The 13,786-nt window shown below is 34.1% G+C and overlaps 1 long non-coding RNA gene across 2 annotated transcripts in view; it reads left to right on the forward strand.

Moving 5' to 3' along the window:
- The first annotated feature begins 572 nt into the window (after positions 1 to 572).
- Positions 573 to 13,786, forward strand: part of LOC105369838 (uncharacterized) — a 122,994-nt gene continuing 109,780 nt past the window's right edge. For both annotated transcript variants that reach the window (XR_945088.2, XR_945089.2), the window contains exons 1-2: positions 573 to 650; positions 5,403 to 5,558. This is a non-coding gene — a long non-coding RNA (uncharacterized LOC105369838). The remainder of the gene's footprint in view (positions 651 to 5,402; positions 5,559 to 13,786) is intronic.

Genomic DNA, 13,786 nt, shown 5'->3' on the forward strand with positions numbered 1-13,786 from the left:
TTAGTGTCTATTATTCTAGAGAAGCTATAGAAACTTTTTAACAGTCTTATAGAAAAGCCTAAAATACTCTATTTTTCCTAAGACACTTGCAGTATGGTTGTGAATACAAAGCTAATACTCTAGAAATATTTGCAAGATTTTTATGGATCGGAAGAGACTTAAGGGTCAATAATTTCATTCCTTAGCTGAACTGATGAATATTTACTAAGTGTCTAATATTTGGAAAGTGCTGGGCTAGGGCTTAAATAAAACTGAAACCAAATGCAGATATCATTACAGTCACTACTTGAATCTCTCTGATTTGGGAGAATTTACTACACCTTCAAAAGTCCCATTTTCATTGTTTTTGTAAATCTTGGGGTCTCCATGTTATTTTAAATAAATATGCCTTCCTGGCAGAGCAATATCAGTCTTTAAAGAATGGAATAAATTACAGAATTCCAATGTTGAAGACAGGCTTACAGTTCCTTCCATCATTCTGACTTTCTATCATTTGCTCTTAGTTCCTTTTATGACATTGTTACCAGTAGAACGAACCCGAGTTACCCTGAGTTACTGTCTGCGTATCAGTGCGGGTCCGCAGCAAAGTCAGTCCTCCCCTCCTCAGAAGAAATAAGTCGACTGAGGGGCCTGAGACAGGAGAGACCGAGGTAAGTTTCAGAGCAGTAGTGGAAGTTTATTTAAAAAGGCTTTAGAACTGCAAGAAAAGGAAAGAAAAGAAGGAAAGTACAACTTGGAAGGGGACCAAGCAGGTGACTTGAGAAACTAAACGCACAGCTTGACCTCTTGACTTGGGGTTTTCTGCGTTGACATACTTCCAGGATCTTGCATTACTTCTTCCCATGCCTGAGATCTCATTGGGAAGCTGCTGATCAGTTTCAGGTGTTTTCTATCTACTAGGAGACAGCCTTTCCCTGGCGCTGGCAGTGATCAATTATTACTTTACTGTTTATTTATTTATTTATTTGAGATGGAGTTTCCCTCTTGTTGCCCAGGCTGGAGTGCAATGGCCCGATCTTGGTTCACGGCAACTTCCGCCTCCCAGGTTCAAGTGATTCTCCTGCCTCAGCCTCCCAAATAGCTGGGATTACAGGCGCCCACCACCACGTCAGGCTAATTTTTCTATTTTTGGTAGAGACGGGGTTTCACCATGTTGGTCAGGCTGGTCTGGAACTCCTGACCTCAGGTGAGCCACCCGCCTCCGCCTCCCAAAGTGCTGGGATTGCAGGCGTGAGCCAAAGTGCCCGGCCCAATTATTACTTTAGAGAAACAGTTAACAACCGCCTGACCCTCACCTGATGGTCGCCCAACACTCCTGGTGTGTAGGGGAAGCCCTCTCCTGCCCTGCTCATACTTGACTAGCTTGACTAGCTACCTACTGTAACAACATGTGTAACAGGGGTGCATGTCACTACTCTCTAATTGTACTGAAGTACAAAGGCTTGGAGCTCTCTTTTAGAGATCACCCTTAATTATACTGTGGGTGAAAAGAAAGCATCCTGCATTTTCTGAAACTTCCACATAGCTTGGGCTATTTATTTTTATTTTTATTTATTTATTTTATTTTATTATTTATTTTTGAGACGGAGTCTCGCACTGTTGCAGATTGGGCTGTTTCTTAATGTTGACTTTGCATCTTTGTGTGTAATCTTCTCAGGTTCAGTTCCTTATCTCTGGCTTTCTTGATTTTCATCAACATCATATGCATTGTTACCAAATACACCAAAATGGTTTTCACATGATAAATATTTTTAAATGAATAACTGAGATTACAAAAGTAAGGAAAACTCACAGGGCACTGGAAAGTAGAAAATGATAAAGTGAAACTAAAATGGTGGGGAATGCAAATTGGCAAAGCCACTTTAGAGAATGATTTGGCAATATCTAGTGAAGGAAAAAAATGACTCTGTGGTCCAGCAATTTCTTTCTTAGGTATATACCATAAAGATATGCTCAAATATGTGTACAAAGAGATATGTAAAATATCCTAGCAGCATTGTTCATGACTGGAAAAAACAAACAAACAAACAACAACAACAAAATTCAAGGCCAGTCTAATGTCCATGATAGAATGGATTTTAAATTGTGCTATATTTGTATACTGGTGTACTATTCAGCAATAACAATGAATGAATTAGATTGAATAATACAAGTATAAATAAAATTTACAACTATAATCTATAATGTATAAAGCAAATTGTAGAAGAATATAAAATGTTAAAAAATAAGCAGAAAGGTACTATATTTTGTTTAGGTAGACATGCATATGTAAAAAATGTATTAAAAATGTGATATATGAAATTCTGATAATCACATAAAAAACTGAAAATTAATCATCCAAGGGAGGGAGGGAGCAAATAGGAGAGACATGGTAAATGAAGGCAGGAGTAGGAGTAAACTTTATATATTATTTATATGTTTAATTGTAAACCATGTGAGTATATTACTACTCAAAAATGCATAGAAATTATTAGTGACTAAACTCAAGATGGTAGAGAAAAAAGAGAATGTGATTGGTTGGAAATACAAAGGATACAACAATTATATTTATAAGCATTTAGTATATTAATCTGAATGATGAATACAAATTCTTTATTATTCTGTATACCCTTTGCACATCTGAAACATAATATTATAAAATAAAACCTTAGCTTTCAAAGCCATTGTTTCTGTTAAGGGCTTGACAATCCAAATTTGGGGGTCAACAAATAAGCATTGACTTTTCATTCTTCTTTGTAACTATACTATAATAATCTCAATTTATGTCAAGGAAGTGTGGATGACTCTAACTTTTGGAAAAACAAATTAGCAGGTAGTATAAAGTGTGAAAAAGAAAAACAGATTAATGTTTCAAGATATTATTTGACCTCTTTTACACATCCCTTACTACTGTTGACACACTTGACTTTGATATATTTCTTAAATATTTCTTTTCAGAAGTAATCAAATTAAGAGGAAACCTTTTGATGATAGTGTTTGTTATCTCTGTATTCATCTATTTATCATAAAGATGATCTAATATTCTATTTTTATAAATACAGTGTTGATTGTATAATACTTCTGAGCAATGCTAATATAGTTTAACCTTAAAAAATGAAACCTGACATCATAAAACTCAATATTAGTATTGCTTCCACTTTTTAGAGCTTGATTTTGGCAGGCCAATTTTTTTTCAAATGTTGGTTTTCTTATCTTTAGAATGAATGGAGTTCTATGAGAAAGAGCATTGTGAGAATTACATCAAATTAAAATATTAATAATAAATTTTCAGTGTATATAAAATGACTTATTGTCTGGAACAAAATAGTTATTTAAAAATCAATCATTCCATTAGACATTAAAAATAAGCATAAGTATGCCTACATTTGTGATTATTCTGGATGTTCTTATAAGGTCTCTGGATCATGATTATCACTCCGTAGTACATGGATATAGTTATATGAACAAAGAAGGTAGAATATATTTGGATATATATATATATATCCCAGACATGTTTAAATATTTTAGTAATAAATCTGTAATATGAGCTAATTTTCAAAAAATTTTGTCAATGTCTTCCAAAACTAATTTAGAGAAATAAAGAAATGAAAAATTCTAAAACAAATCAAAAGCCCATTTAATTAACAGTTTCACAAAGTTGTATTATAGTTCCTTTTTAATAAGTATATATTTAAACTTTTTATGGCATACATATATAAACTAATTTATATAAATGAGCATTATGTATTCATATATTAAAATATAAATGTATAAAATAAGCACAACTATACAAACATGTTTGTACAGATATATATATACACAAACACATGTGAAAGTATGAATATAACAACAAAAATATAAATTAGGGAGTAAACCTTTGCTTTATAAGAGATCTCAACATATTATTTTTTAAAACTGTAATTACTCTTACAATTATTTTGCACAATTTCTAAGGTCAAGTCTTACATAAAATGAGTAACACTAATAATGTTTCTTAGGTGTTATAATTAACAAGATGAGTTTCACTTATAGTAAAAAAGAGTACAAAGAAAGAAACTAAGGCCTATACATTAAACTTTCATTTAAAAAATATTTGACAGAAATTCCATAAGAAATGAAAAATAACAATTATTTTGGCTTGAATTTTTTCTATTTGAGTGAACAAATAGTGATGTATTATACTCAACATCCACATATTAAAATAATCCAAACCTAGTATTTCAGGAGGAAATTTTAGCAGTGTTTCCACTGTAAGACACCTTAGATTGAGAAGAAAAGAAAACTTATCTTGGTACCTGCTGAGTATGTTTTAATCCCATAGCCCATGATGCATTTCTCTTATCCTGACAAATAGGTAGCAGTGCTATTTTTTGTTCTTAGCATATAGTCAGCTTCTTTTGAAATTCAGTCATATATTGGATATGCTGACCCCCTGCCATAGTGAATTCCACAGGCAGGAGCTCCATAGGATGAAAAGTGCTATTCAACTAGAGGGGTTCATGAAGAAAGTCAAAGTCTCTCAAATTAATTTCTCAAAATGCCCTAAGCCCCAGCCATCTCCCCTTCGATGTTCTTTGCAGCTGCTTAGCACTTCTGGACTAGTTGAGCCTGAGTGAGTTGGCTGCCTCCCCCTATGGCAATATTTCTTTTTCAAAGGGTAGTTGCCATGGTTGTATAATTTTGTGCAGGGAGTAGGAGACTTTGTGATTGGCCAAACTGTGCTGAAAAAGATAACAAACACAAAAACTACAAGTTTAAACTGAGGAAAACTTTGTCAAACTCTCAGTGGAGAGTGGAAGAAAGAATGCTTTCCACATTAAAAATATCTTGCATTTTTTAACATTGTTGAACTGCAAGGGGCTTAGGATACTTAATGGGTCTTACTAAATTTGGTTAGACCTCCCCAGCCTCCTAGTGAGCACATGGAAAACAGAAGCATATAGAGAGAGCACAAATTTAAGAAACACAAGAATGGACTAAAATTCTTGGCTCATTTACTGTCACACCTTGGATTGTGTAAATGATTGGTACCTTTTGGAGCCTCCCTTTGCTCTAGGTTAATGCATCATCATTCATCTTAATATACTCATTACTATCCTCTATCTCTTGTGTCAGGCAATTCTTGCCACCTAGAATTTCCTCTCAAAATCCTATGTCTGAGCAAAGCTTTGGACCCAAATCTCCTATGATATCCTTGTTAATAAAATAGTAAAATTATGATTGGCTAAGGGTAGTATTGGACAGATTCAAATTGTATTCAACAATGTTGCTCAGCAAGACCTGTATATGCTGAGGCCCCTATTGTCAAGTACTTTGGTAGGTGCTTTTGCTTACATTATCTCAATTAATTTTTTTGGTATGCATGTTATTTGACTAACCAATTTATCTTATTTGTTACTAAAATGTTTCTGGTTTTGTTCAAGGTTTCACTGTTCCTAGCTAAAATTCCAGGCTCTGTTGCATCTTGTTATGTTAATATGACACAGTTCTGGCTAATAACATGGAGATGTAAGTCCCTGAGAGAAGGCTTCCTTTCAGAAATTTGTCTTCAGAAATAAAAAAGGCAGACCCCTGTGAAGGTAAGGTTTTGTCTTTTGTCCTTAATTGTTTTCTTATCCCTTCTTCCCAACTGGGACAATGTATGATAGTGATAAGGAGAAGGAGCAGCCATCTTTGACTAGACCACATAATAAGGAGGTCAGAGTAGAAAGATACTCTAAACTTAAATTTTGGATGGTGTTTTGGGGTATTTCAAGCGGCCCTGAGCTCTCTACCTCCAGCATTTTTATTAAATGAAAAATGTAATCCTATTTATATAAGTCATTTTTGGTCAAGCTTTCTGCTACTCCCAGTGTAATCATTACTTACCACACAACGTAAGAACTCTGAGCTATGTGGTAATATCCCACAGCTAGGGAGTAGGAAAAGGAGGTAGAATTTAAAGCTCTCCTTGCAATTTTAATTCCCATTTTATATTGATTCACTTGTTAATGGTCTTATATGGCCTAATATTTCTGTTAGTGATTTAAATAAAGAGATCAAAGAGTTAGATATCAGATGTGCTGTTTCCCAAAGCCTGAATGATAGCTAATATACTATAATCTGAGACTGCAACTGTCTTGACATATTTGATTTCCTGTGTCAAGATTTTCAACATTTGTTGAATTATATTAAAATAATTCATAGTTTGATAACTTTATTAGAATCCAAGTGGTGATATTGAGAAGGTAGTTGGATACAGTAGTATGGAATTCAGAAGGGAGATCTGGTATAAACTTATTTATCAATGGCATATAGATAGTATTTTATGCCATGTGACTTGATGAGATTGCAAAGGACGAAAGAAAGTGTAGATAGTAAATGGAATAGAATTAGAGATTGAAGCCTGGGCTTTCATAATAATATTGTTGAGAAGACTAATGTTAAGAGAAGGAACAATCAATGACTGTAATATCCAGAAAAAAAAAAACAAGTGATGGAACTATGTAATCTGTGGTTTCAAATACAGTCATATGCCACATAAGGACATTTGCGTCAACAACAGACTGCTATACGATCATGGTTCCATAGATTATAATGGAGCTGAAAAATTCCTATCACCTAGTTACATCATAGCTGTCAGAATGTCATAGCACAACACATTGCTCACATGCTTGTGGTGTAATGTGCTGGCATAAATAAACCTAGTGTGCTGCCAGTCATATAAAAATATAGCACATATAATTTTGTACAATACATAATACTTGATATAATAAGAAATGACTATGTTACTGGTTTATGCATTTACCATACTGTACTTTTTATGGCTAGAGTGTACTCCCTCCACTTTTTTAAAACAATAAACTTAACTGTAAAAAAACTTCTGGCAGGTCTATCAGGAGGTGTTTCAGAATAAGACATTGTTTTCATAGGAGAAGATAGCTCCATGCATGTTTTTCACCCTTAATACTTTCCAATGGGACAAGATGTGGAGGTAGAAGGCAGTAATATCTTAATCCTTTGGAAACCTAGGCTAATATGTGTGATTGTATCTTAGATTTTAACAAAATATAAAAATTAAAAAAATCTTTAAAAATGGAAAGAAAGTTTATAGAATAAGGATGTGAAGAAAAAATAGTTTTGCACAGCTGTACAATGTGTTTTAAATTAAGTATTTCTACAAAAACTTAAAAAGTAAAAACATATAAAGTAAAAAGTTACAGTAAACTAAGGTTCATTTATTATTTAAAAATAAAATATTTTAATAAATTTATGTAGACTAACAGTGCAGTGTTTATAAAGCCTACAGTAGTATACAGTAATGTCCTAGGCCTTCACACTCACACCACTCCCTCACTGATTCATCCAGAGCAACTTCTATTTCTGCAAGCTACATTCATGGTAAGTGCTCTACATAGGTGTATCTTTTTAAATATTTTATACTGCATTTTTGCGCTTTTTTAGATTTAGATATCCTTAGCCATGCAAATAGTCATTGTGTTACAGTTGCTTACAGAATTCAGTACAGTAACATGCTGTACAGGTTTATAGCCACAGAGCTATAAGAATATCATATATCCCAGGTATATAGTAGGCTCTACTATCCAGGTTTGTGTAAGTGCACTCTATGATATGTGCACAATGAGATTGCCTAATGATGTGCTTCTTAGAGTGTATTCCTGTTGCTAATCAATGCATGTCTATACTGTTAATTTGCCAAGTAAAGTAAAACATTGAATTGACTATTGGATTTGACCACATGTAGAATTTTGGTAGGGATAGCATCCATCCTAGTGCACCTTTGACACTTTCAGTTTGTTGCCTTGTTTTAATTAATAATAATGCCACTTTTCATTCTTAAGTATCATAGTTCAAATGATAAATTATATGGTCATCCTAAGCCACTGATGATCTTTAGAAAGATAGTTTCAGTGGAATTCTGTGAGCAAAATACTGGTTGGAATGTATGTAAGAACAAAGGAAGAAAGAGTGGGAGACGGCAAAGATGCAAAAAGCTTTTTGCTGCAAAGTTTTGCAGAGAAATGGGATGAAAGCTGGAATGAGAATTAAACAATGTAATTATGTACCCAAGGGATTCAGTTGATAGTGAAAAATTATTGATGTAAGAGAGAGGAAAAATGTCCTGGAGTAACTGAGAAGGGATTCAACCTCTGTTTAAGGGAGGGAATGGTTTAGAATAGATAAAAATCAAGATACCACTCTCCAAGCGTATTTTGCATTTCTGCATGTTTTGTGAATGAAGCACTAATGGCCTTGTATTCTGGAGCATGTTTATAGAATGTTTATATAATCAGCAGGCATTGAAGAGAGAGAGAGTTTCTTTGTAGCAAAGGACAGGTTGGCTTACATCCCTGGAAGACAGAGATATCATCTTCCTCTGAAGCAAATGGCAGGTATATTTACTGCCCTTTATAAGAAATTAGAGATCCCTAAGCTTAGATGTGTCCTCCTGTAATGTAACCCACTACATGGTCAGTTGTCATATGCCCCTTTCATATTGCCTGTAAGAATTGGGACTTGGATAACCGGAGTAAAAAAAATACTCTGACTATTGTTGTTGCTGTGGGTAATAAACTGCTTTACATTTCTGATCCAGGAATTATGTGTCTTCTACCACTGTCCACTAATGTTTTTTTGTGGATAAATTTAAGGGGTACAAGTGAAATTTTGTTACATGAGTATAGTGCATAGTGGTGAATTCTGGCCTTTAGTGCCTCCATTGCCCAAACAATGTACATGAAGTAATTTCCCATCATTCACTCCCTACTCCTCCGAATCTCCAAAGCCTATCATTCCATATTCTATGTCCATGTATACACATTATTTAGCTGCCACTTATAAGTGAGAACATGTGTTTGATTTTCTGTTTCTGGGTTGTTTCATTTAAGATAATGGCCTCCAGTTCCATCCATGTTGCTGTAAAAGACATGATTTTATTATTTTGTATAGTTGGATAGTATCCCATTGTGTATACATACTACATTTTCTTTATCTAGGCTTTCACTGATGGGTGCTTAAGTTGATTCCATATCCTTGCTATTGTGAATGCATAGGCTTGCAATGATCATATGAATGCCAGTATCTTTTTATATACTGATTTCTTTTTCTTTGAGTTAGATACCCAGTAGTGGTATTGAGGGATAGAATGGTAGTTCTGTTTTTAGTTTTTTGAGAACTCTCCATACTGTTTTTCGTAGAAGTTGTACTAATTTACATTCTCACCAACAATGCACAAGTATTAACCTTTTCTCCACATGCTTACCAACATCTGTTATTTTTTAACTTTTTAAAACCCATTCTGACTGGTGTAAGATATCTCATTGTGGTTTTAATTTTCATTTCTCTGATGATTATTGATGTTGAGCATTTTTTCATATGCTTGTCGGCCATTTGTATTTCTTCTCTTGCAAAATGTCTATTCCTGTATTTTACCCACTATTTATGAATCCTGTGGGGGAACTTGTTGCTTGGTAGTAGGGTAAGATCTCAGATCCTTCACCGTTCTCAATAATAAGATCTTAGATAATCTAGGATAATGGATACTATGCATTTTTATCTTATTATTTTACATAAAATTAATACAAATTTTTATAGGTTTTATTATATGTAGGTTTTATATAATCAAATGTATCAATCTAGTCTTTTAGCAATTGTGGATTTTATGGCTTGCTTAGAAGGATTTCTTAAAATCTTCTTATAGATGAATAAGACTGGACTTTATTCTATTATTATCTCTTATAGTTAATTTTTAAAGGTAAAGTTAATTTTGAATTCACATAAAATGTTATTTTTATATGAATTTTTTCCTAAATTATAGCTACTTTATCTCAAAACCACTAAAATTGATCCTTATCTGATTATCTGAAATGTCTTTCTCATAATATATTAAATCCCTAATGTAGAGATTTGTGTTAGATTATTCTTATTCATGTATATAATTTTTAATTGATACATGAATATATTTAATCCTTTTTTTCAACACATGTTTAGTTAGCACCTGCTATGTGCTACACACTGTGGCATTCGCTATTACATAGTGGTTAAAAAATAGGCATAGTTCCTGCTCCATTGAAAACCTCAGCCTAGCTGTAAACATAAATACCTAAAAAATCATCAAATAAATATATTATTTAAAAGTATGGTAAGTGCTAGGAATACAATTAAAAAATTCTTTGGTAGAATATTGAGGTAAGTGGGAAACCTATAAATGTCAGTGTTCTCTGAGGAGGATATAATTTCAGCCTACACCCAGAGTATAACAATTGAGCATCATAAAAATGAGTGGAAGAGTATTCTAAGCTGGTGGAACAGCATGCTCATAGATAAAAGTTGTTTCAGAAAAGGGTCATGCAATGCCTTTTGCTTACCAACCAACAAATCTGCCATATAGAGTTTAATCTTTTGATTAACCAAATTCAAGTCAACCAATTACATTATATATCTTATAATGTTGATATATTTTCAAAACGTAAATTTTCTTTTAGAATTAAGGCCAAATTATTGTATGTATGGTAGAAGTCATCAACAACTACTCTATTGGAAATAACTAATATAATCCACGTTTGTTGCTAGAAATTGATTTTTGGAGTGGACTCAAATGCCTAACTCTCAAGAAGTTCTAAAACCAGAAGGATTTTTTTTGCTTAGGAGTCTGAATGAAACTTTTAAAGTCTTGCAGGTGTTTGCTGTCAGAATGAGGATAAGTCAATATGTGACAGAGCAGAACAATGAATACTGTGAAAGGCACAATAGCGGGCCAGAGCCCTGATACATGTGGCCTGAAGCCTGCCAAAGTCTTGGGCTGAATTTTAAGTTCAGCAATGCATTTTTGTAAGTTAAATTACTTTAAATTGAAGTTTTCTGGTTTTACTGAGCTAAATGCATTATAATACTAATTAGAATATTTTCAACTTAAATTTGAAGCCTGAAAGGTGAGAAACATCGGCCAATGGCTTCAAAACTCCCACTCTTCTTGGCACAAAACAAACATATCTTTATAACATTTCTTGAAATTATTTGATAACAACTTTGGAGTTGCTTCTTAGGTATGCATAGCAAGGTGGTATTGGGCATCACACTTCTGAAGTCACATCCCTTTACTCTCCTGTGTATAAGCTCTGGAAATGAAGTAGACCTAAAGTAGTTCTATAGTAAAATTAAGTTCACTAAGAAACTGGGACTTATGGTGGAGAGTGGCATCAAGCTGAGGTACACAATTTAGAGTCCTTCCTTTCCTGTGCTCTTGCCCTGTATCCATATCCCAAGATTTGGGCTCTCCTTGTGCTTGTTGCTGAGTGGGAGTCTGTATTGTTTTACAACCCCACTATCATTAATTGCCTGGCCACAAATATATTCTAATACTACCTTTATTGTAACTTTTGTTAGACTTTTTTCTAGTGTTAATGCTTACCAGGAGATTAGATGTCTTCCTTCTTGTGTGCCCCCTCCTGTAGGGTTATATTTCTATCTTGCATGGCTATAGAGGTATAGAAAGAATACTAATTATTAAAATTCATATTATATCGCATTTTCATATTTTTATATTTAAAAGATACACTGATAATCATGTCAATCTATTACTTTTCTTTGGAAGAAATAATTTTTTGACTATATGACAGTTTTTTTAAACACAGATAAAAAATGTTTCATTATTCTTAAACTGTGCCTGCAAACCATTGCTAAAGCAAAATAGAAGCTTTCTCCTTTGTATAGTACAATTTTATTGTATCTAATTTAGATGTGGAAAAATGTTAATTAATCTTAATTAATGCAGCTGTTGAAATGAGGGATACCTGTTAGCCAGAGTGGCCTGAGAGGTGCCTTTATTTCATGAAACAGAAGACTTTGGTAGCTACAATCCACTTACCACTTTTTAAATTATTATTTTCAGTTTTTAAATTTCTAAATTTTTATTTATGAGGTTATATGCTAGGTATATATATATTTCTGGAGTACATGGTGTATTTTGATATGGGCATACAGTGAGTAACAATCACATCAGGGTAAATGTGATACCCATTACTTCAAGCATTTATTCTTTGTGTTATGAACAATCCAATAATATTCTTAATAATATTCTTAGTTATTTAAAAATATATACTAAATATTATTAACTATAGCCTCCCTGCTGCACTATCAAATTCTAGATTTTATTCATTATATCTATTTTTTATATCCAGCAACCATCTCTACTTCTTACCCCCACTACTCTTCCCAGCCTCTGGTAACCATCATTCTACTCTGTCATCATTAGTTGAATTATTTCAATATTTTGCCCCCACAAATAAGTGAGAATGTGTGAAGTTTGTCTTTCTCTGTGTGGCTAATTTCACTTAAGCTAGTGACTTCCAGTTCCATCCATTTTGTTGCAAATGACAGGGTCTCATTCTTTATCGGGGGAACCAGCCCCCAAAATTTCAATGTAGGTTCTTTTCTATTTTCCCTAAGTGTCGGCCGGTCTGAGAAATAAAGAGAAAGAGTACAAAGAGAGAAATTTTACAGCTGGGCTTCCGGGGATGCCATCGCATATTGGTGGGACGATGATGATGACCCCGAGCCGAAAAACCAGCAAGTTTTTATTAGGGATTTTAAAAGGGGAGGGGGTGTACAAACAGAGTAGGTCACAAGAATTACTGATGAGGGTCTATGCCCCACTGTGTATGCATTGTCTTGATAAACATCTTAACAGGAAACAGGTTTTGAGAGCAGACAACTGGTCTGACTAGAATTTACCAGGCTGGAATTTCCCAGTCCTAGCAAGCCTGAGGGTACTGCAGGAGACCAGGGCATATTTCAGTCCTTATCTCAACCGCATAAGACAGACACTCCCAGAGCGGCCTTCTATAGATCTACCCCCAGGAATGCATTCCTTCCCCAGGGTTATCAATTATTAATATTCCTTGCTGGGAAAATAATTCAGCGATATTTCTCCTACTCACACGTCCATCTATAGGCTCTCTGCAACAAGAAAAATATGGCTCTATTCTGCCTGACCCTGCAGGCAGTCAGACCTTATGGTTATCTTCCCTTGTTCTCTGAAAATTTCTGTTATTCTGTTCTTTATCAGTGTGCATTGATTTTATATTGTCCAAATACACATATTTTACAATCAATTTGTACAATAGTGGTCCAGAGGTGACATATATTCTCAGCTTACGAATATAACAGGATTGAGAGATTAAAGTAAAGACAGGCATAAGAAATTATAAGAGTATTGATTGGAGAAATGATAAATGTCCATGAAATCTTCACAATTTATGTTCTTCTGCCTCAGCTCCAGCCGGTCCTTCCGTTCGGGGTCCCTGACTTCCCGCAACAATTCTTTTTTATGGCTGCATTGTATTTTATTGTGTATATGTACTGCATTTTCTTTATCCATTCACCTGTTAAGTGATGCTTATCTTGCATCCAAATCTTGGCTATTGTGAATAGTGCTGCAATAAACATGAGTGTGCTGATATCTCCTTGATATACTGATTTCCTCTTTTGGGTATATAGCCAAAAGTGGGATTACTGGCTCATATGGTAGCTTTATTTTTACTTCTTAACTCCAAACTGTTCTCCATAGTGGTTGTACTAATTTACATTCCCACCAACAGTGTACAAAGATTGCCTTTCCTTCACATCCTTGCCAGCATTTGTTTTTGACTGTCTTTTGGATATAAACCATTTTACCTGGGGTGAGTTGATATCTCATTGTAGTTTTGACTTACATTTCTCTGATGAGCAATAATTTTGAGCACCTTTTGATATATCTGTTTGCTGTTTGTATGTCTTCTTTTGAGAAATGTCTATTCAGATTTTTGCC

The sequence above is a fragment of the Homo sapiens genome, chromosome 12, assembly GCF_000001405.40.
Source record: "Homo sapiens chromosome 12, GRCh38.p14 Primary Assembly".
In the NCBI taxonomy this organism is placed as follows: domain Eukaryota; kingdom Metazoa; phylum Chordata; class Mammalia; order Primates; family Hominidae; genus Homo; species Homo sapiens.